Source organism: Homo sapiens, chromosome 1 (assembly GCF_000001405.40).
Source record: "Homo sapiens chromosome 1, GRCh38.p14 Primary Assembly".
Classification (NCBI taxonomy): domain Eukaryota; kingdom Metazoa; phylum Chordata; class Mammalia; order Primates; family Hominidae; genus Homo; species Homo sapiens.
Window position 1 is genome coordinate 34,514,146 of NC_000001.11, and position 27,002 is coordinate 34,541,147.

General features: G+C 43.1%; 1 long non-coding RNA gene across 1 annotated transcript in view, besides 1 other annotated feature; it reads right to left on the reverse strand.

Annotated features, from left to right (window-relative positions):
- LOC105378641 (uncharacterized) overlaps window positions 1-27,002 on the reverse strand; it is a 227,461-nt gene that overhangs the window by 56,287 nt on the left and 144,172 nt on the right. The gene's annotated exons all lie outside the window — the stretch shown is intronic.
- Window positions 16,394-16,563: an enhancer, noted in NCBI's record as "active region_715". NCBI's record gives its function as "activates an Ori minimal core promoter by ATAC-STARR-seq in GM12878 lymphoblastoid cells {active_cell/tissue: GM12878}" and the evidence as "EXISTENCE:reporter gene assay evidence [ECO:0000049][PMID:35858748]".

Consider the following 27,002-nt stretch of genomic DNA (forward strand, 5'->3'; position numbering starts at 1 on the left):
AACAGTCTAAGCCCCTACCTTAAGATACTAGGAAAAGAACAAAAAAGATAAGGACCAAAATCAATTAAAAAGAAAACAGGAGAAAAAGGAAAAATCAATAAAACCAAAATTTGTTCAGTCTAAAGATCAACACAATTGATAAACCCTGACAATAATAATCAAGAAAACAGTAAATACATAAATTACCAATATCAAGAAAGAATGACAAGACATTACTACAGACACTAGAGATGTTAAAAGCACAATAAGAGAGTATTATGAAAAACTTTATGCCTATATATCAACAATTTAAATAAAATGGACAAATTTTTTGAAAGATGCTTACTACAAAAGCTCCCTCAAAAGAAAATATGCGTTCTGAAAATTCTTATATCTATTTTTAAATTTAGATTTGCACTTTAAAACCTCACTACAAAGAGAATTCCAGACCCAGATGGCTTCATTGCTGAATTCTACTAAACACTTCAATGAATAAATAATACCAATCTTAAGAAACAATATTGTTAAAATGGCCATACTGCCCAAAGCAATTTATAGATTCGATGCTATTCCTGTCGAACTATCAATGACATTCTTCACAGAATTAGAAAAAAAACCTATTTTACAATTCACATGGAACCAAAAAAGAGCCTAAATAGTCAAAGCAATCCTAAGCAAAAAGAATAGAATTGGACCATCACGTTACCCAAATTCAAACTATACAACAGGGCTAGAGTAACTAATACAGCATGGTATAAGTACAAAAACAGACACATAGACCAGATTATGGATATCCAGATTATCCACATAGAAAATCCCAAAGAATTTACAAAAACCTAACAGAACTAATAAACAAGTTTAGCAAGGTGCCCTAGTCTGTTTGCTTTGCTATAAAAGAATACCTGAAGCTGGGTAACTTATTTTAAAAAGAGGTTTATTTGGCTCATGGTTCTGCGGGCTGTACAAGAAGCATGGCTCCAACATCTGCTTCTCATGAGGGCTTCAGGAAGGTTCCACTCATGGTAGAAGGCCAAGGGGAGCAGGCATCACATGGCAAGACAGGAAGAAAGAGAGGGAAGGAGTTGCCAGCCTCTTTTCACCAATCAGGTCTCATGGGAACTAAAAAGCAAAAACTCACACTCACTCTTGAGAGAATGGCACAAACTCATTCATGAGGGATTCACTTGCAAAATCCAAACATGTCCCACCAAGCCCCACCTCCAACAATAAGGGTCAAATTTCAACATAAGACTTGGTGGGGTCAAAGAAACCATATCCAAACTATAGGACAAGGAAAATGTGCAAAAAAAAAAAAAAATACTTCTATATGCCAATAATGAATGGTGGAAATTGTAGTTTTTAAAATACCATTTAAATAGCACCATAAAATCTAAAATATGTGTATATATAAATATCACAAAATATGTGCAAAATTTGCATGCCAAAAGCTACACAACACTGGTAAAAAAAAAAATGAAGACCTAAGTAAATGGAGATATGTATCATGTGTATTAATTAGAAGACTCAATATTATTAAGATGTTAGTCCTCTCAAATTGTTTTATAAATTAAACACAGTTCTAACCACAATCCCAGCATAATATTTGTAGAAATTCAGAAGCTGTTTTCAAAATTTACATGGAAAAATGAAGCAGATAGAATAGCCAATGCAGTATTGAAAAGGAAAATGAAGTTGCAGTACTCACGCTACCTGATTTCAAGACTTACTATAAAGCTACTTTAATAAAGAATTGTGGTATGTAAATGGCATGTAGGCCAATGAAACACAGTAGAATCCAGAAACAGATCTTCCATATATGGCCAATTTAGTTTCAATGAAAGTGCCAAATAACTCCAGTGGACAGGGTAGTCTTTTTAATAATAATAATAATAATAATAATAATAATAATAATAATAATAAATAATAATAATAATAAAGTGGTACTGGAATAACTAAAAACCCATTTGATCCATTTTGAGTTCATTTTTATATATGATGTGAAGTATGAATGGAGCTTATTTTTTGTATATGGTAGAAGATTTGAAGACCAAAAACATATGGATGTAAAATAAGCACATAAAAAAGATGCTGAATATATTTAGTTTTAGGGACATGAAAGTTAAAACCACCATGAGATATGACATACCTATAAATTATTATAATAATATTTAAAAACTAAAAATACCAAGTGTTGACAAATATATGGAAGAGCAATCTGAACTTCTATATATCAATGATGGGTATGCAAAGTTGCACAGCTAATTTGGAAAACAATAAGGCAGTATCTTACAAAGTTAAACATACACTTAACTATGGCCAAGCAATTTTATTCCTAGGTACATATTTATCCAAGGGAAATGAAAGCATATATCCACACAAAGACTTGTACTCAAATGTTCATAGAAGCTTTATTCATAATAGTCAGAAAATGGAAAAGACCCCAATGAATATTAACTGGTGAATGGAAAAACAACTTATGGCATATACATAAAGTGGAATATGTCTCAGCAATTAAAAGGGACAAACAATGACTGACACATGCAACAGTGTGGCTGAATTTCTCTTTTTTTAACTTTTATTTTAGGTTCAGGGGTGCATGTGCCGGTTTGTTATATAGGTAAACTTGTGTCATGGGGGTTTGTTGTACAGATTATTTCATCACCCAGCTACTAAGCCTAGTACCCAATAGCTATTTTTTCTGATCCTCTCCCTCTTCCCACTCTTCACCCTCAAGTAGGTCTCAGTGACTGTCGTTCCCTTCTTTGTTTCCATGTGTTCTCATCAGTTACCTCCCACTTATAAGTGAGAACATACAGTATTTGCTTTTCTGTTCTGCTTGAGTTTGCTAAGGATATGGCCTCCAGCTCCATCCACATTCCTGCAAAGGACAAGATCTCATTCTTTTTTATGGCTGCATAGTATTCCATGGTGTATATGTAGCACATTTTCTTTATCCAGTCTGTCTGGCTGAATCTCAAAGGCATTTTGCTAAGTCAAAGAAACCAGACAAAAATAATGTGTATTACGTGATTCTGTTTATATGTAATTCTGGGAAATGCACAACTATAGTTCTAGAAAATAGGCTGGTGACTATTTACATTAGCATAGTCATGGGGCCAACGCAAATGCCCATCTATGATAGACTGGATAAAGAAAATGTGGTACATATCCACCATGGAATACTGTGCAGCCATAAAAAGAATGAGATCATGTCCTTTACAGGGACATGGATGAAGCTGGAAGCCATTATCCTCAGCAAACTAACACAGGAACAGAAAACCAAACACCGCATGTTCTCACTCATAAGTGGGAGTTGAACATTGAGAACACATGGAGATGGAGAGGGGAATAACACACCCCAGGACCTGTTCAGGGGTCAGGGGTGAGGGTGAGGGGAGGGAACTTAGGGAACGGGTCAATAGGTGCAGCAAACCACTACGGCACATGTATACCTATGTAAAAAAACCTGCATATTCTGTATACATATCCCGGTTGGTTTTTTTTTGAAAAAAATTTTTAAAAAAAGAACATAGGCTGGTGTTTCGTGGGGATGGGGTTCGGGTAGGAAATTGACTGTAAAGAGCGGAAATGTCTTATTATCTTGATTGTAGTGAGTGTTACATGACATTACGCACTTGTCAAAAATCATAGCACTGTACACCTCAATAGGTTAATTTTATTCGATGTAAATTATACCTCAATAAAGCTGATTAACAACGGTGAAAAAAACTTCCCTTGCTCCCTTTCTTTCTCCAACTAGGGAGAAGACAAGTTCTAGAGCAGCCACCTTGGACCTAGGAACAGAAACCATGAATTGAAGATGGCAGAGCTGTTTTATTGTCTCTGGACCACATATCTCTGGGCTATTACCTGAGAGTGAAATGTATTTTGTTTACTTCATTGCATATGTCAATTTCTTCATTATAGCAGCTTAGTCTGCAGACAAATTAATATGCCAGCTCCAGGCAGAACTGGTTTCAGAGGCTCAAGCAATGTCACATGTTCTTGAGCTCCACCTCCAGCCTGACTCTGCCCCTTGCCATGCCTTGGCTCTACGCTCAGGCTCCAGGTGGGGACACACTGCCTATGGGACCCAGCCTCTCATAGTCCATGTCCAGTCGGGAAGCAAATACCCACCTCCCAACTGTTCCAGCCAAAGCCTCCTTACATCTCACTGGCTCTGACTGAGTTTCATGCCCATCTCTGAGCCAGTCACTGTGGCCAAGGGAGTACAATGTTATGATGAGCCATGCCTGAGTCAAACACTCTATCCAGAGTATCAGGGGAAAAAGCACCACCAAGCGTACCATATGGTGAGGGAGGAGTGAGTCTCCTGAGGAAATCTGGGCTATAGTTATGAGAAGTACGCAGGGTGGCCACTGGAGAGCCAAAATAACAGATGGCCCTGTCAGGGAGTGAGTAAATGAACAAATGACTTACCCACTGTCACCCAGCAAGGAAGTGACAGGTGCTTGAGGCTAGCCTCCTGAGCAGATCACAGCAAAGGACACATGGTGGTTTCCCTTCTATAACACTCACAATAACTGGCACAGAGCTGGCCCACAGCAGCTATCCATCAATAGCTCCTGACCTGACTTTTTGCCTTGATGTGTTTGCCCTCTATCGGAGTCAGAAGCACCATGGTGAAGGAGAGATTGCCAAGGAAAACATGGGAGAAAAAAACAGGACTTGAGTGGGGATGTGTGAGTGGAGTGAAAGCATGGTGATATGACCCGTCCTAAGGCTGGGGCTCTTGCTCAGACATCATATGATTGATGCAAAATCTTATCCCCCAAACTCCACTGCAGCTCCAGCAGTTGACAGCTCTGTGACCTTGAACAAGTCACTTAACGTCTCTGAGTCTCAGATTCGTCACCCATAAAATGTGAACCATACTTCCCAGGATTGTTGTGAGAGCAAAATTTGGTGCTTTATAAACTACAACCACAGCTTGAGGAGCAATCACTTTCAGCTGTTCCCGTGGGCATACACCACTTGTCCTTTTCCACCACTTCTTCCTACGCCATACTCCCTATATGGGATCCCTCAAACTCACTCTCAGCTTCAATCTCCAGCTCTCCATCACATCTACAGAATGGAGAAAATCTCTCATTTGGAAAATGTGTGACCTGCTTGTTGTGCCTAGCCTGTTGGCAACACACTAAGATGGTTTAGTATGCTGCAAACAGTTGCAGAGCAAGACAGCCATGATGGAGGAACCAGACGCCAATCTCCACTTCTGGTGATCCCATGGATGCTGTAAGGCACCAGGTGAAATGGAGCACCCTTTGTGGATCTGGTATGCACAGCGGCATCTCAGACCACAAGGCCCTGGAGGAGGGCTGCTCATAGTATTATGGCCAAAGGAAGAGTTTAAATCAGCTGCACAACCATGGGGTTGGGATATAGGGAACTTGTGGTCCATCTGTCAGGATCTTTTGCTGAATAGCCTCGTTATTTGGGCATCATATAAATTGTGCCTGGGATGCTCAGTCATAAAACACCAGCAAGCTCTGAGAACAGGAGCTAGAGAGGCAACCCTAAGCCTGTTTTGCCAGGAGAATTCACTGAGATGCAGAAGCAGGTACACACCTTCACATTCACACCATTCATATGCACATTTAAGCTCATACTCAGGCACATATGGTCACATAAACCCTCTCAGCATTCGCATAGCACTCTAATACCCAGATACACCTACCTTTACTCCACTTCAGTCTTCACACAAGATACATACTCACTGGCATTCAGAAAATATGGTAAGCAGATATTCAAATGCATACCCATGCAGACACACCCTGAAATAATCCACCCACCAACAGGTTCACAATTAGCCTCAGACTTTATACACCCCACAACACAAGTGATCACGCAATTCACATATGACTACATACTCAGACACATTCCAACATACACTGTCAAGCATACATTGCACACTCACACACACATACACACACACTGGAAGTCTACATTCGAAGGCTAATGGCTCTTCTGTGCCTATTACAGCCTTCACTTCTTTGCTGACTTTGTTTTCACTCGAAATCTTGGTTCAAAATGGGTCCCCACTGAGCACGTTATCTGAGGGTTTTCAGCCATATGCTTGCTACTAAAATTCTGCCTATGTGTCAGATTCTGGCATGAATGAAATGCAGCCCACACACGTGTATACATTGCAAACAAGAGCCAGAATGTAGATCTCACTGCGGGATAGATGGAAACCTTAGAGAGAGCCCTGGCACCTCTCCAGGAAGTGCATTCTGGTTGAGTATAGTTTTCAGACAGCTCTCCCAAGGCTGGTCTCTGTGGCCCACCCAGCTCCAAGGTCCAGTGTCATAGCACTGGAGTTCCTTCCTGGGGTTCCTTCCACTGCATGCAAGAAGGGCACAACTGGAACCTCTGAGAGCTGAGCCCAGCATCTGGGAAAGGCCCCAAAGCTAAGGTTCCTCCAGGTTGGAAAGAAGATTAGAAAGAGACACAGGGCTGCTCAGAGGATGTCAAAGCTTTAGCTTAGACAGTTTTGCCCCAGGATCAGTCAAAGCTTTGCTGCAAGAATAAAACAGCTACAAGGAAGCATTGAAGCTCTGCTCAGAATACAGGGAGGGCAGGCAGGTGGAATGTGTAGAGGCAAGCCTAGGAGGATAAACAGCAAATCCACCATGCGAGACAAGCTTGCAGCCAGGTGACTTGCTAGTTGTATATCCTCGGGCAAGTGACTAAACCTCTCTGTGCCTCAGTTCCCTCACCTGTAAAAAGGGTCTACTGACACTATTCACATGATAGAGTAGTTGTGGGGATGAAATGAGTTATTAATAATAATAGAGAACTCATTTTATCTTTCGTATAGCTAAGGCACTTAGAGCCTGGCATATAGCAAAGGCTTATATTACTTTCCAACTGCTACTGTAGCAAATTATCCCAAACTTCGTGGCTTAAAACAACAGAAACGTATTGTCTCACAGTTCTGGAGGTCAGAAGTGTAAAGCGAGTTTTACAGGACGAAATCAAGGTGTTGGCAGGGCTAATTCCTTCTGGAGGCTCCAGGGAAATATTCGTTCCTTTCCTCATCCAACTTCTAGAGTCGGTCTGCGTTCCCTGCCTCACGGCCACATCACTCTTCTCTGTTTCTGCTGTCACATCGCCTTCTTCTCTCATTGGTCCTCTTGCCTTCCTCTTATAAGGACGCTTGTGGTTAAATTGGGCCCACCCAGTTAACCTCCCCATCTCAGGATCCTTAACTCAATTTCATCTACAAGTCCCTTTCGCCAAATAAGGTAAGTTATTCACGAGACGTGGGTATCCTTGGTGGTGGGGCATTAGTCAGCCTTCCACAGGCTCAGTAAACGTCAGTAATGTTATTATAAAGTCCTCACAGCTACCTTGCCCAGAGCTACATAGATGGTAAGTACCAGGGCTGTGAGCTCAGATCTCTATGATCTCATGGCCCTTTTCCCTTTCCACAAAGCCACTGGGCTTCAACCTTGGGGAGCATCAGAATCACTCAGAAGGCTTGTTAAAGCACAGTTCCCTGGGTCCACCCCCAAAGGTTCTGATTCTGATTCTGGGGTAGAACCCAAGAATTTGCATTTCTAACAAGATTTCAGGTGATCTTGAAGCTGCTGTTCTGGGTGTCAAGCTTTGAGAACCCCTATCCTACAACATGCTGCCCACAGAGAGGAGTGAGTTCCCTGTCTTTGCAGGAGTTCAAGCAGAAGCTGAATGACTGCTGGTCACAGAGGTAGGAGGAGGGAGGATACAACCAAATGCTATTTGCCTTGCCACCAAGAGGCTCTCAGAGTCTGGGCACTCAGTAGGAAGGGTGTCCCGGATCTTGTGGGGACAGGTGGGTTCTGTTCAGCCTATTAACTGAATGCCTGTTAGAGCTCCAGTCTCTATCCCCATTAGAGGCAACCTGGAGCCATCAAAAGAGCCTGGGCTCTGGATTCTGATGGGATTGGGTTTCAGACCCCTCACTCACCCCTTACTCCTTACTCACTCACTCACAGCATGGCCTGGGGCAGGCAAATGACTCAACTCTTCAGAACCCAAGTTATTTTCCTCTGTAGGATGGAGAGCTAAATGCCTGCCTCCTAGGGCTGTTTTATGGATTAGAAAAAAAGTAGTAACATAACATGACTTGCACAGCAAATGTAAGGTCCCAAAAATGTCAGGTCACCTCCGCTTGAAAGGAAGAAGAGTAGTCATCTTTTTAGATCTCACATTATCATTATCAAGGCCGTGCACACAGTAGGGCAGGGGATACAGAGCACAGACAGGAGAAAGACAGGGTATGATGAGAATAGCAGAAGGGATGCAGGCAGTAAACGAGGGCTCCAGGCTGGGAGAGCAGGGGTATTCCAAAAGTGGAGGGGAAGGAATTTGGATGAGAGGGATTCCACCAGCATTTGGTGGCAGCTTCAGAATCTTTTTCAGTGGGCAAGTTTAAGGGACCAGATCAAACCCAAATGCCTTTCCTTTGAGATTCTCTTCCTTCCTCTGCTGAAAAAGCATTACTGGTTCCATCTCTGGCTTTGGGATGGGAGGACAGTGTGGACTATTATTTATAGAGGGTCTACTATGAGCCAGGCTCTGTACTAGATGCTTGACATATGCCATCTCGTGCAAGCTGCCCCAAAATTTATGAGGCAGGCATGCTCATCCTGTTGTATAGATAGGGAAACTGAGGCTCAGAGAGCCTCATCTCCCTTCCCTCTCTGTTCCAGATGTGATGTCACCTGCTTATCCTAGCAGCTGCTTTCACCTCCCAGTTGCAGGACCCCTGAGCAAACCTTCTCAGCTTCCCTCCTTTGCACCAGTATCTGTGCTGTGCTTGTCAGTGGAATTCTTGCAGGACTGCAGGGAAGTTGGGTGTATGTGGTTGGCGGTGGTGGTGGTGGAGAGATGTTATGGAGTCAATAGTCATTCATCAACCACCTTCAAAAAGCTGTCTCCCCTTGTGCTGTTTATTATTATTATTATTTTCCAGGCTACATTGCCCACAATGGTTATTGCCTCCAACTCCAGAGGGCCACATCAGCTGCCACTGACTTTTATTCCTGCAAATAAAAATGTAAGCTCCACAATGAGAAAAACACAAGCTAAAGAGACAAAGCCCATAAACTTGAATTTTAAATGTGGAAAGGTGATGCCAGTAACTCTCAGGATGCTGCCTCCCACATCCCCTCTGCACCCATCCACACTGTGTATGACTCCCCTTAAGGATGAGAAGGGCCCCAAGTAAATAGGTGGGATGGGTGACAAATTAGGAAGAATTAAGTTAAGCTTGAAGTGGTTTGTGCTGCCCCCTGTCCCCAGTACACACAGACTTAGGTTAAACTCCTAACCAAAAAAATGAAAACAAGTTTAAAACCATCATGCTTTCTGGATACTATGTCTTTGAATGTTTTCTGTGTATGTAGACATTTTCAACTCCTGTGTATTACATTTCCCATGTATTGGCCTCAGTGGAAAGTCTGGTCCCTCCTTAAAGCAGGCTGAGCTTTTCTGGCAGCCAGAGGCAGGAGGAGCAGCCTCCTATCAGGCTGAAGAAGCCAAGACGTCTTCCAGGCAGGAAGCGTAGGTTGACAGCCATGAAATAGTCTTTTCTTCAATAGCCAAGTGGGAGTCTCCATCTTCCACTGCAGGGCAATGGGTAGGGGGGAGGGCAAAAACCAGACTTGGAACCTGTGGCAGGTCATGGCCAGGCCCCTGAAGATGCTGAGAGAAATAGCGGGGGCCCTGCTCTGGAGGAGCTTAAGACCAGTAGGAATGACATATGGAGAAACAGATGAAGTACAACCCAGGCACTGTCGTGGGGGGTCATACTCAGGAAAGCCTGAGGAGGGAGGAGGAAGGGAGGAGTGTGCAGTCTCCTGGAGAGGTCAAGATTGGCTTCTCAGAAGCAGCTCTTGAACATGATCAGGAAGAGGAAGCAGATTGTACAGACTGCCCCAACCTGGGCCATTGTCTCTCTTCTTTCTCTCAACAAAGTCCTGAGGGTGCCTCTGCCATCTCCTCACCATGCTCTTCTATAATAATTATTTATCTACCCCAGAAAATAAGCTCTTTAGGTCCAGGGCCATGTTATTTTTTTCTCTATGTCTTCTGCGCCCAATACAGTACATGGTAGGCACTCAAAAATGTGTTGGACAGAGCGTAGAAGTTGGGAGGCTCCCTTAGGTCTGGCTATGCTATCGAGTACTTGGGGAGAATGAGAGCCAATGGAGTGGTGAGGAGAGCAGGGGCCAGATCTCACGGGATTTGAGTGACAAGAAGGACCTTGGACTCTATCCTGCTGGAAATGTGTCCAAGGCCCCAGGACAGCTTTGGAATTATCCTGGTTGGATCACAGAGCTGGCTTCAGAGTCTCTCTGAGTAGCAGCCATTAGCCCTGATTACTGATGACCAGTGTTGGGGTGGTGGCACCATGAGCCAAAGCCTACCTCTGACCCCTCACTTTCCCATATCTCAACCTCCTCCACCCCAAGAACCCCTGTTTTGGTAATGCTACCACCATGCACCCCATTGCTCAGGCCCCAAGCCATAGATTCATTTTTTATTCTTCTCTTTCTCTTCTCTCCATTTAATCCATAAAAAGATCTGTGGCTTTCTCTCTAAAATATACCCCAGTCCACTTTTGCCCATCTCTCCCTCTACCTCCCCAGTCCAGGCAGCCATCTCTTCCCTCCTGCATTGTTGCCATGGCCTTTTACCCAAAACTTGGGCTCCATCCTCACCTTTCTTCCCCATCCACTGTCTGGCCATCCTCCAGGCAAACATGGTCTTGTAAAAATGCATGACTGATCATATCATCTCCATGTGCAAGTCCTAATTCCTTTGCACAGCCTTCCCAACTCTGCATTGTTCCATCCCCATATCTGTGACCTCACTGCACACCACCCTTCTACTCACTAGCTTCTGCCACTCTGGCCTCTTTCTGTTCTGCAAACAAGCCAAACCTGCCCTCTTCTTGGGGCCTTTGCACTTGCAGTCCAGGTCCTTGTTTCTCACTTAGAACATTTTTTTTTTCCATCTCTTTGCAGGGTTCTCCTCATCCTGTAGGTCTCAGTTAAACCCTTTCTCTACAGGGACTTCCCTGAACACCCTTTCTAAATGATCTCTGTCTGCATCCCTAATCTCCATCCCATCTCCTCTCATTACCCAATTTATTCTCATCACAGCAATTATTAAGATGAAAGTGTCTTTACCTGCTAGTGTTTATCTCTTCTGCTGGAATTTAAGCTCCATGAGAGCAGAGACCTTGTGTGACTTGTTTACCTTGATGTTCCTAGCACATAACAGGCACTCTATGCATGCTGCTATTATTATTATTGTATGTGTTGTTATTCTAATTATTACATACAGCGTGTTCCTAGCACCTAGAACACTGCATGGCCTGTAGCAGGTAGGCTATAATAATAATAGATAATAATAACAATAATAGATATTATTTGAACAGTTAAATAAACAGAGAAATAAGGCCCCCCGAGGCTTGGGTGGAGGATGAGATTGAACACAGAATAAGCCCCAGGTGACCCAGGGGAGGAGGGGCTCACTGATTCCACCCAATGTCGTTTAGGAATGAGAGGAACCCTGCCTCCCGTAAAATCTCATCTCTAAGCCAGAGAGTCTCAGTGACTTGAGAATCAGAGGACCTGTAAGTATTAGAAAGCCAACCCCCCCGCCCGGACTACCACCCCTCCAGAGTGTTGTAAATCATATCTGCCCATCTCTGCAAACCTGCTTCCCAGGATGGGGAGAGGGGGTATTCCTCTCTCACTCAGAACAGCCCAGCTAGAGAGCTGGTGCAGAATTAGTCTATGTGAAGCCCTAATTCTGATGCTGAAGGTTGGATGAGCCCCAAGGACACAGAGATGACATTAGCTGCCCTGGAATTTCTGGCAATGCTCTAAGACCCACCCCACCCCACCCATGAAGCTGACAACCCTAGAAGCAGCCCTCTCGTGCTTCTTTTGGCCAGGTTAAGTATTGCCAATCGCTACCTTTTTCCCCATATGACCCAGTATTGAGTCTTCTTACCACTCTAGTTATAACCCTGTGAACACATACCAGTCTTTCATCGCTCCTTTAAAAACACCCTGTCCAGATTGAAGACCATTACCAGAGACAGGGTCTGCCTACAGAGCAGAAACATGAACTCCCTTTCTCTAGCTACTAAACCTCTATTAATGTAGCCCTGAGGGTAATTAAAAATCACTAAAGGTGAGTGCTGAGATGAAGACAGAAAGAGGGCAGCACTTTGGGAGAATCCTGTAACTATGGGATGGGCTAAAGAAGAAAACCCAGAGAAGGAACCTGAGAAGGAACAGTCCAAGAGGTCGGTGGAAAGCACGTTTCCCAGGTACAAGAAGGATGGGAAGAGACTGTCCCACAGCTACAGGCAGCTAATAACCATACACACAGAGAGACCAACAGAATGAGATGAGACCGTGTGCTTTCTCTAACGATTCCTCTGGTCAGATCCTTCGAGGGAGATTCTCTATGGCACGGTGGGGTAGAAGTCAGACTGCAAGGGGCAGAGGAGAGAGGGATGCGGGGGCAGGAAGTGTAGACAACACTTTTAAGATTTAAGGGCAGGACTTTGGTGCTGGGAAGCTGGGGCGGCAGAGGCAGAAGGCAGGATCAGGCACTGTGGTGGACATCCGCAGTTGGTGTGTCCAGGCCCTTCCTTCTTCTGGTAACCACACGCCCATTTCTTTGGGGATCATTTCCCTCTCTCAACCCCAACCGTTTCATTTCAGTGAGACCAGAAGAGGGCATGAGTCAAGCTAGGGCAATCAGAGTCCCCCCCTGGGATTTCTCCAATTAAAACCAAGGAAATAGAGTATTTATCTCTAGCGATGACTCCCAGGATTTGTCAGGAGTAGCTGATGGAGAAAGCCCACCTGGCAGAATTCAGTTGACATTCCAGAGAGACAGAGGTTATTGGGGTGTCTGAGCCCCTGCCAGGCCTGAGATTTGGTAACTTCAGCATTTGCCAAATAGGTTACAAGAGCCACTAGTAACCTAAACGAAATCGAATTGGGTTTCTGTCATTGGCAATCAGAATAATTCTAATATCAGAATTAAAGCCCAAAGGATGAGTTCACAGTGAGTCTGGTATCTAAGACAGTTTGATGCTAAGGCCACTCACATGCAGGGCCAGGGCCGCCCTCGTGGGCCTTATCCTTCTTGAGTCTGACGTCTCCAGTCTGGTGACCAAAGCCAATTGCACCTTGCATCTGCCCCTGCTATGATAACACAGCTGGACTGGCTGCCTTATGGAGAAGGTGATTTATTTGCTTCATAAGCAGGAAGGCTAGAGGCACATCGTGGCAGAGCCCAAGCTTGCCTTTCTTTCCTATTTTACATTATATTTCACCCTGGCAAGAGTGATTCTTCTTGGCCAGAAAATTGATTTTAAATCAAACTTCTTCTGACAGCCCCACACAATCCTCCCTTCCTGGGGCCTTTGCCCTCTCTCTCTCTCCGCAAAGCCCTCCTTCCACTCCCACCTTTCTGCGTGCCCCTAGACACACACTCCTGTGCATGCATGTGTGCGCACATGCACACACACACACACCCACAAGCTCTTCTCTATGCCAGGAATTTTCTCTTTCCCCAGTTCCTTTTGTTTTATTTTATTTCACTTTATTTTACTTTATTTTATTTGGAGATGGAATCTTGCTCTCTCTCCCAGTCTGCATGCGGTGGTGCGATCTCGGCTCACTGCAACCTCTGCCTCCCAGATTCAAGTGATTCTCCTGCATCAATCTCAACAAGTAGCTGAGACTACAGGTGTCTGCCACCATGCCCAGGAGGTAATTTTTATATTTTAGAGATGAGGTTTCACCATGTTGACCAGGCTGGTCGTGAACTCCTGACCTCAGGTGATCTGCCCACCTCAACCTCCCAAAGTGCTGGGATCACAGGCATGAACCACTGCACCCAGTCCCCAATTCCATTTATTGATGCACTTTTATAACCAACTCCATCTGTGGCTCTCCAGTGTGGAGTGACGGGGCCCAGAGGAGGAAGTAGGCTGGAGGAGATCTGGACTTCAATTCTTGGCACCTGCCTAGAGGGAGCGAGCTGGCACCAGGAAAAAGGAGGCTGCCCAGCTGTTCTAGGAGGAACTGGGCTTCACAAGGGGATGGAGACTCTGATGCAGAGGCCCACGAGTGCTGCAGACCAACAGCCTCAGCTAAGACATCAGACACTGAGTAGGAAGGGGACAACACAGAGAGGTGAGTAGGGAAGAAGGAGGAACGCAGCTGACAGAGCTCAAGGTATGTATGGTCCTTGTTCCTACCTTTCATATTCCTGTGGCTACTTTGTGTAACCTGTCCCAGCACCTGGCTGCAGGGAGATGCCTTGGAAGTTGGTGTGCAGAATTTGGAAGTTCTGGAATCTGGAGCCTGAAAGGTTTCTGTCCCCATCCCAGCTCAGCCATTTACTAAGCATATGGGGTTGTCTGACAGGGGTCTACAAAGCTTTTCTTAAAGGGCCAAATGGTAAATATTTTAAGCTTTGCAAGCCATAAGTTCTCTGTCACCATTCATCTCTGCCTTTGTAGCACCAGAGCAGCCACAGATAATGTGTAAATGAACAGATGTAGTTGTGTCCCATTAAAACTTTATCTATAAAAGCAGGTGGTCCATGCTCAGGATATAACTTGCCAATCTGGAAGGCCTTCCAGTGCAGATGCAACTCTAGAAATTCTGTTTACAGCTCCAGGAGCTCATCCCAGCTGCTCAAAGGAAAACTACATAAATGTAACAAAGCAATCCTCTCTGCTAGTCACTTAACACACATGGTACAGCATAGTGGTCAAGAGCATGGGCTAAGCTCAAGCCTGACTTTGTCACATACAAGTTCTGAAACCTTGGGAAAGTCACTGAACTGCTTTGTACCTCAGCGTCATCATCTGTAAAACGAAGATGCTAAACAGAAGATGGGTATGAGCATTCAATTAGTCAGCTCATGTGCTAGAATAGCGTCTGGACGAACCTTATTATTAAGGAGTCTGATGAGATTGCAAGATGGATAATGTCAGGAGGCTTCCTTGTGACAGCAGAGGAAGACCTCTTTAAGCTAGCCTTAGAAACGCTTCCTAGAGGAAGTAACGCTGCAGCTGAAGCTCTCACAATAAATAGGAACATGTTCGAGCACCTACTGAAGGCAAGAAAAAGCAAGTCTTATTTAGGGACTCATAGGGAGATTCAGCTGTCTCAGAGATCAGAGTTGCTGAAGAGCAATGAGAGACAAACGGGGAGAGAGAAGCAGGGGCCTGGTCATGCAAGACCGTGCACACCATGCAGTTGAATGTGGATTTTTTTCTTCATGACAACGGGAGCCATAGAAAGGTTTTAACTGGGGGAGATGTGTACTGAGATGAGTGCTTGCTCTGGCTGTTTGTAGAATGTAAACTAGAGAGGATGTGAGTGGAGACAGGAGACCACCAGAAAGTCCTGACATCAATTCAGGCAGAGAGGAGGGGGCTGCCTTAAGGCAAGGGCCCTGGGAAGAGAGAGGCACAAGCAGAAGATGTTAAAGAGATCAAATTGTTAAGATAGGGAATCCTATGGGACGTAGGAAATGGGAAGGAAGGAAGAGTCAAGGGTGACTCCCAGGTTTTGGCCCACCACTTCCCTTTATAGTTCTAAAATGGCAAAGCTTTATCACTGACTGATTCTGGGTCAGAACTCCAAACCCATCTTGTGATCCAAACTTGTGACAGGAAGGAGCCTGTCAGAGGTTATCTCACGCATCCCTCTGCCTCTGGGCCAGTCTGCATTCAACCCATCTAAGCAGTCAGCTGCAGGTGCAGCAAAGGACAGGCATGCCCTGAGCACACAGGTTGGCTCTGCTGTCCACAAGGAAGCAGCACCAGTGTGGAGGTGAAGGCCCTGAGGCCCCAGAGACTCGGGGCCTTGAGCTATTAAGAGGAACGGACCCCTGCTTCCTTTTTTCTTTTCGAAATTAGCCAGCAGAGTCAGCCTCCTTGCTGGAAGGGGAGGAGGGTCTGGCAGCTAGCCACCCCAACCACATCACAGCTAGAGCTCCACAGCCCCAGCCACGACAGATGTGATTTATCTACAGCCCAGGAAAAGCGGGAAAGGAATGCTTTTCTTCCCTTCCTTGCTGTTTGGGGCCATTCATCACCTTCGTTATTTTTATAGTCGTGTGGGAGTATTTAGCTCTCTTCACCACCCCCCAGGAAATGTGAACAAATAAGGAATCAGTACACATGCTATCAGGAAGGCATCAAGGCACAGAGCGGTGATTAAGAATGGGATGTCAAGTTTCCACCCCACTGCCCTCTCTACTTCTTATTTTAACTCCCTCCCATCCCCTAGAATTCCCCAGATAGGACCTGAGACTGTATCTGAGTTATAGATGAGAATGGAAGAGTTGCTCTAAAACAACTGGAACATCAGTAGACTTTAAAAAGGGGGATTATTGTAAAACTCTTGCCAAGTGACCTCTGATTTAAGCTGGTAGAGTAAACAAAAGAGTGACTCTGTGAGGTCAGTGTGAGGACAGTAGGAATTAAAGGTTTGCTGGAAAGATGGAAAGGTGGAGAAAGAAAATAGAACCCACTCTCGCATGGGTAAAGGTTTGCATGTTGCTCAACTCAAAGCAGAAGTGAAAGCTTTAATGCCTGAAGAGACTCTTTGCCCTCCCACAACGGGGACGTCGTGTTGCACAGTGGAGCTTTGTTCCTATTTGAACCTAGATTTGAATCTTGACTCCTCCATTACCTCAAGAATTTATAAAATGAGGATAATAATATCTATTCATGGGGTTGTAAAAAGTCTAAAATTTTAGTGTATGTGCTTATTATCTGGCTTAAAGTCCAATACCAACATTATTATTTTGCTTCTCAAGTTATTTCAGCTTCAGCCATTAGGAGCTCCAGCAGGCTGGCTCCTCTGTTCTTTTGACAAGCCTCCAGATATTCCAAGCTCATCTTGTATTTTCCATTCTCAGCCCTGGAATCAGCTATTTCCCCTAGGAACCCTGGTTCCGTTTAATGGAGAACGTTGTTTAGAGACCAAGATTGGGGTGCTGGACATGCTTATTGCTACTGAGGTGTCATTGCTTGTAGCATCATTGCTTTCATCAGACAGAGCTAGGAAATAAATGTATGTACACCAACGATGTGTTTTTGTAAGATGAAAGTGAGGTAAGAAATACACAAAAATGCTTTATCCTATTTTTGCAACTTTCCTATTCTTTCAAAATTAAGTTTTTATTTTAAGTATATAAAGCACCTAGAGCAGGCGTGTCCAATCTTTTGGCTTCCCTGGGCTACATTGAAAGAAGAATTGTCTTGGGCCACCATAAAATACACCAACACTAATGATAGCTGATGAGCTAAAAAAAAAATGCAAAAAAAAATTTCATAATGTTCTAAGAAAGTTTATGAATTTATTTTGGGCCACATTCAAAGCTGTCCTGGGCTGCAGGTTGGATAAGCTTGATCTAGATTTTAATAGGTATGCAATGGCTGTGAATTGCTTTTCCATCCCTCCACTTCCTAAACTTGACTCCTCTATTAACCTCAAGAATTTATAAATGGGATAATAATATCCAGTCCATAGGATATTACAGACATAGTAGGTAAAACACACAGGATGTGTTTCAGGCTGTGAGCCATAAATGTACCCTACAGCAGCAAATTAGCAGCAGGGACCCTCTGGCCAGGCTCTTTGGGTCAGAGCAATTAGCTGACTCTATCTAAAGTTTGAAGCAGAGTCTTTTATAATATGGAGGGGGATAGAGTTTAGATTCTCCCAGAAGCCAACCCTGAGACAGAATTTAAGTACTAATAATTTATTTTGAGAGGCCCCAGAAACACCAGTAGAGGAATGAGAAAGTGACACAGGAAAAGGCAAGCAACCAACATTTGTGTGTTATTAAGCCAGCTCCCACAGTGAGGGACCGCTGCATAATCCCATGAGGAAACTCTGGAAAATGCTGTAAAACACATGCCTCAAAACGATCACAGGTACACACACCCAGCAGAGATGCAGGGGTGTTTTATATACAAGCCCCACCAATCATTGGTTGAAGGCTGCTCCCAGGGGTTATTGCTCCTCCAGTACTTGCAAAGTGGCCTCCCGTAGTTCTGGGGAAAGTCCCAGGAACAGAGCTGCAGGTGTCAGCAGCTGTAAGCCATAAGCAGCACCCTCAGCTACAGAAAGTCTCGGGGAGAAGGGCACAGATCTATCTTAGCACTTTGCCCCAGCCACCCATGACCACACCAACTCCCAGTTCAGGCTGCTTGACTCCACTTCCTGAGCTTCTCCAGCTCTCCTGAGCTACCTTGATGGTGCCATGTAAAGGGAAGAGAATTATGGCATCTCCTGAGCTTTTGGCTTAGGAGGAGGAAATTTGGCAAGGAAGAGCCAGTTTCATCTAAACAAATATTCATTAACCTGTGGCAAGGTAGCCAGGTCTACAAATTTCCTCAAAGTGATATTAAAATGTATTTATATATAGAGCTAGGTGGTATTTCTATATACATGAATATGTAAATTTCTGGGTTTGTAAGTATCAGTAGTTGAGAATGAGAATGAGGCAGTGAGTACAGAGCCATGAATTCATAAAATGTTTAAAAGGAGCTCTCTCCAACCTTTTGGTGTGTTATCTTAGTAAGGTATAGTAGACTTGCTAAGTGTGCTGTAAATTTAAAAGTTTAATGCATCATTTGCTGAAGTTTTTCACTGAGTTTGTTCTAGGAAAGGGCAATGAGGAGAAAGGGATGTCATCTCAGCCTTTCTCCTTGAGAACAGTGGCATGAATGGCTGCTCCAGTCAGAGCTAGTGTCCCACCCTCTTTCCTGGGCATCCAGAGCTCCTTGCATTGGCACAGTCACCATGTGAGGACATGCAGGTTGTGCCCAGCAAAAGCGTGCCTAGTCTAGGGGCAAGGAGCACTGGAATCTAGCCCATGCTTACCTCACCAAGCCAAGCATACCAGGGCAAAACTGCAGCCACCTGGGAGAAGGGCATCTTTCTTTCTTTTTTTTTTTTTTTTTTTTTTTTTTGGAGACGGAGACTTGCTCTGTCGCTCAGGCTGGAGTGCAGTGGCGAGATCTTGGCTCACTGCAAGCTCCGCCTCCCGAGTTCACACCATTCTCCTGCCTCAGCCTCCTGAGTAGCTGGGACTACAGGCGCCCGCCACCATACCCAGCTAATTTTTTTGTTTTGTTTTTGTTTTTTTTAGTAGAGACGGGGTTTCACTGTGTTAGCCAGGATGGTCTCCATCTCCTGACCTCATGATCCACCCGCCTCGGCCTCCCAAAGTGCTGGGATTACAGGTGTGAGCCACCGCGTCCGGCCAGGGCATCTTTTTTTAATTTACACAAAAGCACCACGTGTGTTAGCAGCAGCCATATGTGCAATATTCATCATGATATCCATTATGTGCACACACCATACCAATGAGGTACCATCTCCGTAAGCACTGCAAGACCAGAACACATAGAGGGTAAAGACTTGTCCAGGGTATAATAGTTTGCTGGGCTGCCATAAGAGTACTATAGGATGAGTGGCTTAAACGATAGAAATTTATTTTCTCACAATTCTGGAGCCCAGAAGTCCAAGATCAAGGTGTTGGTATGATTGGTTTCTACTGAGGCCCCCCTCTTCTTGGCTTCCAGATGACTGTCTTCTCCCTGTGTCCTCACAAAGTCTTCCCTCCATAGGTGTCTGCATCCTAATCTCCTCTTACAGGGAAACCAGTGATATTGGATTAGGACCCACTCTAATGACCTCATTTTACCTTATTGCCTCTCTAAAGCCTTTGTCTCCAAATAAAGTCACGTTCTGAGACACTGGGGTTAGGACTTCAACATATGAATCTTGGGGGGACACATTTCAGCCCGTCACACAGAGCAATACAGCAAGTCATTGATGGTTACAGAAATATAACTTGATATTCTCTGGCTTCCCGTCTCTGGCTTGATATTCTCTGGGGCTTCATTCCAGAGTCATCGTGTCTCTGTCAACTCTTTTTGACAGAGGTGTAAATGGAACTGCAGACGCTAAAAAGAGAAGCAGCAGCTCTGCCTCACTATTCCTCCTTAGCGAGTCATGTTGCCGTCCCCAAGTGCAGCCAGATTTCCTGTGACACCCCCATAATACTCACTTCCATTGGCTCCTTCAGCAGAAGAAAGGAGCATCACACCAGAGCCAAGAGTTCACAGATGCCAGTTAGACCCCCTCACTGTAAGTGGCCACCTCCCACCTGACCAACACAAAGAATGAGCTCCACAAACCCAGCTTCCAGAAACATCTGGGTCATTTCTGTATGATGAAGAAGTGAATATAGTGAAGCCCTTTCCATGTCAAATTTCTGCCAGGAAGATGCTGTGCTTGTCTTCACTCAGGGCACCTAATATATTGTCTGTGTAAATGGAACCTCCTAAAATAGTGCAGTGCGCAACTAGCCCAACTGTCTGGGGCAGCCCTGCCGCAGCCTCCACACCCCTTACTCCATGAGTTCTTTCCATGTATTCCCTCCCTTTCCCCTTCTCTCAACCTCTTGCCTCTTCCCAGTTATTTGCTCCAATATTAAAACTGTCTCTACCTCATGGCCAATCAACCCAGGGGCAGTGCAGTAGTCAGTTTCCAAGATTGCCTCCCACCAAAGATGACTATCACCTCCTGGAATTCACACCCTTCTGCAGTCACCTCCCACATTGTACCAGGTGACTGATAGAATACTGCTGAAATGATGGTATGTCACTTCTAAGGTCAAGTTATAAAAGTCACTGTCTTCTGTCTTGGTTGCTTCCCCTCTCTCTCCCTTGGATCACTCCATCTGGAGGAAGTCATGTCATCAGAAGCCCTAGGGTAAGACCCACATAGCAAGAACTAAAACTTTCTGCCAACTGACACATGAATGAGCTTGGAAATAAATCCTCCAGACTTAGGCAATGTTCAGATGACTGCAGCCCTGGCTGACCTGCAGCTAAACTGCTCCTGGATTTCTGACCCACAGAAACTATGAGATAATAAATGTCTGTTGTTTTAAGTCGATAAGTTGGGAGTCATTTGTTACACAGCAGTAGATAACTAATACAGGGAGACTACATGTTGGACCATATTAAGGTCAGCCCCTCACAGAATCACCTCCACTAAACTGTGTTTGGACATTCTGCCCCAACTTTTTTCAGCAGTGGTGATGAGAAACAGCCATATAAAATGTGCACCAATTTTGCTGTACACCTGCTGTTAAGCATATTGATATTGTTTACTGCTTTTTTTTTTTTTTCTGGAGACAGAGTCTTGCTCTGTTGCCTAGGCTGGAGTGCAGTGGTGCAATCTCAGCTCACTGCAACCTCCGCCTCTCCGGTTCAAGCAATTCCCCTGCCTCAGCCCCCCAAATAGCTGGGACTACAGGCGTGCACCACCACACCTGGCTAACTTTTGTATTTTTAGTAGAGACGGGGGTTTCACCATGTTGGTCAGGTTGGTCTCAAACTCCTGACCTCGTGGTCCACCCTCCTTGGCCTCCCAAAGTGCTGGGATTACAGGCATGAGCCACTGTGCCCGGCCTGTTTACTGCTTCTTTACCTTGGTGGTCATCTTTGTAAGGAGCCATGTGAGAAACACTTTAAGAGTTTAGTACAGGGGTTGCTCTTATTTAGGCATTCATTACCTGAACCCCTGCCATGACTAGGTCATCTAGGGCAGCAGAGGTCGCCACTTAGGACATGAGTCCTCAGTCTTTCACATCCCTCCCACACTCCCACTAGGGTCTATTCCTTCCTGTCCCATCAACGTCTTCATTGCTCAGTGTCTCACTGGTTGACAGATGATCAATACCCTGGGAATACAATGCAAGTTGATTGCAAAAGTATAATTGAAAATATCGCCAAAAAATGGGGGGGCAGGATTTCATAAAATCTATGAAAGTGAAGGGGAAGGACTGCTGGCGTCACATGCAAAGGCTTTGACAAATCAGTATTTGGGAGAGTTCGAGCAGTTAACAACTCAAGAGGAGAAAACAGCAAGGGCGATGATACTGTGAAGACTTTGAAAGAGAATGGTTTGAATATCAAAGGAATAAGAGACGCTCTTGAGAAAATTGATAGAGTGTTCAAAGAGTTTTGGAAAAAAAAACACCCTTTTTATGATCATGCTGCCAAAGTCAAACATGAATTTGAGAATGTTATTTCATTCTATTATATACTTTTGTTGGAAAAATTCTACCAAAAAAATTCAGCAGTTGGTTCACCCTATTCATCCAAAGAGTGGGCAGATAGTTACATATACAACTTCAATTTTAAGTGTGAAATAAAATAAACTTATTTTAATAATATTTTATTTTTTAAGATGCATTCTAACTTTGATCCATTTTTGGAGGGGTTCCCTTTTTTAAGGGCAATTTAAACTACCCTTTTCTACTTTCAAGCATCCTGAGGTATCAAAGGCCAACTCTAGATGGGGAAAAAATGCATATCTTGAGGAACAGGCTTGTGGCTTTCATTCTAATTATCTGAGCTTTACAGCTTCTGTATTTCACTTTTTGCCTGGAATTCCAAGAGGCTAAGCTAAATTTTGTTATGATCATGTTTTATTAATAGTTCCTCTTTTATCCTTGGTGCCAATTTTTCCTTGGGATCTATCCTTTACTGAACCAATTGAATAATATATTTTATATATTATATTATATGTAAATTATCTGTGGATGTATATTTATATATATAACATATATAAAATATATCAATTATCTGTGGATAAAATATATCAATCCTACTGTAGAAAGAGGTGAATTATTGACAGACTCTGAAGCTGCTCTCTGGAAGATCACTAGGGGCTTTCTACTTGCTTCATTAAGTGGCCTTTCCCTGCTTCTCGTCGTGCTCAGCCTCTTGAAAGCCTTTCTCTGCCCTCTTCCCTCGGCTTTTTCTAGCACATAATACTCTGGCTAGTTTTTCTCTTACTTTTCTGTCCTCTCCTTCTCGGCTCCCTTTTCCCAGTGTAAAAATCTCCCTGCCTGAAATGTTTGTTTTCTTTCCAGATGTTTCCAGATGGTGTCTAGAAAACTAGAGTGGCCCAAGAGCCATAGTGTCAAGTCAACAAAGTTGGCATTAAGACCATGCTAGGGTTATGTATTCTGATGCCACTCTCCTTACCCCACCCTGGCATATACTCATTTTGGTTTTTTAGCTTATTATGAAATATTTGAGGTATACAAAAAGCTATAAAGAATAATGCAATGAATACCTGTGTGCCCTACCCATCTTAAGCAATAAAACATTACTAGAGGTGAAGCCTTCCATCTCCAGCTCATTTTCAATTATTACAAAAAGCTGGCAAAAGGGATCGTATTTGAGGGATGGCTGGGGGTATTATAAACAACAACAAGCATAAAGGCTGTAATTCTTAGCTTACATGTGCTTCCACATTCATTTACTCCCACCTACAGTCTGAGAAGGTATCTATTGTTCTTCCTATCTAAGGATGAGAAAATAGATTCCTAGACATCTGATGTGGTAGTGTGCAGGGGTTAAGACATGGACCACGAAGCCAGATTACCTGGACTTGAACCCTGGCTCCAGTACATGCTGATGCTTACATATTTTCTGTGTCTAGATTTCTCATCTCTAAAATGGAGGTGATGCTAGATTTACTTTTTGTAAAGATGAAATATATGTCAAGAAGAGAGACTGTCACATTGTAAGTGCTATATAAGTGTTTGCTGCTGCTGACACTACCACTATTACTATCATGATTATTATTATCTGAGTTGTCCAGTAAAGAGAGCTGCATTCTTCCATATAATTCTCTTCCACTAAGGGTCTTGAATGCTTATAGCTATAGCTAATCAGCTCTCACCTCAAGCTCTAGATCCAATCATTAGGTACTTGGGAGAATTGAAGATTCCTCTAGCTTATTGTTCATGATTCATCCTTGCCAGCCTGGTGCTGGGTCCTATTCTGACTTTGTGCCCCATCAACAATGGGATCTGGCTCATGCCTCAGTCTCCATTCTCCTAGGGCTGTGAAGAATAGGAAACAGCTGGATGTCCCTGGAGCTGACCACCTGCCAAGACTACTCATCATTCTTCTCTCCCAGCATCTCCTTGCCTGGCTGGTGGGATGCCTTTGGCCTTCTAATAATACACATTCAAATACCTTTGCCCAGTAAGCATGTCTAACCTCTGGATCTGAGACCTCCCCAGCCTACATCAGCCCACCACTACATCTTCTTCTGACAAGCATCACCCAGTTTGAGAATGGCAGTTCTTTATTTATTTATACAAAGTTCTACTTTCCCTTTTAACTACATAATTAGAATTCAAAAAAAAAAAATCTGTGGTCTCTTGCTAATCAGACTCTTGCCTTGGCATTTGCCCACAGAGCTCATAAGCAATCCAAAGCACTGAGCTGGGTTAGTCCTTCACACAAATGCAACTGTGCTTTTATTGCTGCCATAATTTTGAGTTGCTGAGTAATGAGATTGATCTCTCAGAGAAGTAAAAGGCAAATATGTGGCCACTCAGCAGCCAAATCTTACTTCTTTAAAATTTGGTACTGCCAAGGTCTATGTCTTGTTTTTAGTCATTTCTGGAAATGGCAACCTCAACAGTCAGGAGGTTTAAGTGGTATTCAAACTAAACAGACTCAACCTAGTCCTATTTATTCTTTTAAAAATTTGTCATGGAGGGCTGAACTTTCAGAGAGGCAGGGTAAAAATCTTGGCAGACTTTCTCCCAAAGAAACAAAAATTTGGTGAAAATTGTATTTTAGAAATAATCTGGAAATTGCCCTAAGAGTATAAGGCAAAGGGGGAAATAGTCATTCAGGAAAATCTACCTAATCTTCGTAAGAACAGTGAGAGTCTATGGCATCTGAGCCAAAACCCATCCCCTTCCCTGTCCCCCGACAACCTCATACCCAGATCCATATTACAGAAGCTCTACCCCAAACTGGTGTGGCCAAGAAGAAGGCTCCCACTCCCCTCAGCTGCCAGTCTGGGACTAGGATTTCACCCTGGCAGGGGCTGACCACTGGCCTTTCTAATCTCTAGCCCCATGTTGCAGAATTTCTATTATGGTTGACACTGCAGAGAAGACCAGCCTCCCTTCCCCCACCCAGACCCATTCATAGGACAGAAGCTCTACACTAAGCACAGCAGGCCAAGACTACTGGGGCCCCAGCCCCAGCCCTAGCTTACTTGTAGAAAAAAGTTTCCCTGTTACTAAAGAAGAATATTTTATATTGGCAAGAGTCTCTCCATCTGAGAGATATAACAATTATAAATATGTATGCATCTAACAACAGAGTCCCATCCGAAATACATAAAGCAAAAACTGACAGAATTGAAATAGGCAATTCAACAATAATGGTTGGAGACTTCAATACTCTCAACTTTCAGTAATGGATGGAATGACTAGGCAAAAGAGCTAGAAGGAAATAGCAGACTTGAACAATACTATAAGCCAACTAGACCTAAAAGACATCTGTAGAACACTCCGCATTATGGCAGCAGAATACACATTCTTCTCAAGCACACATTGGAACATTATTCAGGATATACCTCAAAGTAAGCCAAAAAATAAGCCTCAATAAATTTAAAAGGATTGGAATTATACAAAGTAAAATATGTTTTCTGACCACAGGGGAATCAAATTAGAAATCAATAATAGAAGAAAATTTGGGAACTTCACAAATATGTGGAAATTAAACAACACACTAGCAAAATCACCTGTGGGCAAAGAAGAAATCACAAGGAAAATTTAAAAATTCTTCGAGATAAATAAAAACAAATACACAACATACCAAAACTTATAAAATGCAGCTAAAGTAGTGGTCAGAGGAAAATCTATAGCTGAAAATGCCTAAACTTTAAAAATATGAAAGATCTCAAATCAATAAACTTTCACCTCAAGAAACCAGAAAATAAAAACAAACTAAACCCAAACAAGCAGAAAGAAGGAAACAAGAAAGATTAGATTTAAAAAATGGAATAAAGAATAGAAAACAATAAAGAAAAAAGTTAGTTCTTTGAAAAGATCAACAAAATTGATAAAATTTTAGCTAATGTTACCAAAAAAAAAATGGGAGGGGGGAAGGAAGGCTCAAATTATGAAAATCAGGAATGAAAGAGAGGACATCACTACCAACCTTACAGAAATAAATATATATATATAAAAGAATCCTATAAACAATTAAATGCCAACAAATTAGATGAATTAGGTGAAATGTGTAGAAAGACATAAATTACCAAAACTTATCCAAGAAGAAATAGAAAATATGAAAACACCTGTAACAAGTAAAGAAACTGAATTAATAGTTTTAAAACTTTTCATGAAGAAAAGCCCAGGCATAAAAGATTTCACTGGTGAATTCTACCAAACATTCAAAGAAGAAGCAATACCAGTGCTTCCTAAAATCTTCCCAAAAATAGAAGAAGACTACTTCCCAACTAATTCTGTGAAGCCAGTATTACCCTGATATTAAAAATAAAAAAAAACACACAAAAGAAAACTATAGACTAATATCTCTCATTAATATACTTACATAAATCCTTAACAAAATATTAATAAACTGCAACAGCATATGAAAAGGATTATACACTATGATTGAATGGGATTTATTCCAAGAATGCAAGTTGATTTAATATTTGAAAATCAATTCAGGTCATATACCATATTAATAGAAAAAGGGACAAGAAATTATCATTTCAAAAATGCAGAAAAAGAATTTGAAAGAATTCAATGCCCTTTCAAATTAAAAATACTCAACAAATTATGAGAAGAAAGCCTCCTCAACATGACAAAAGACGTGTAAGAAAAAAACACAGTTCACAGTACATTTAATGGTGAAAATCCGAGTATTTTTCCCCTAATATCAAGAAGAAAACAAGGACGTCCACTTTTGCCATTTTTATTCAACATTCTACTAGGATTCTAAAGTTTTAGCCAGAATAAATAGGCAAGAAAATTGGGGGGAAAGGTAAGTACATTGGAAAGAAAGAAGTCAAACTATCTCTATTTCAGATGAC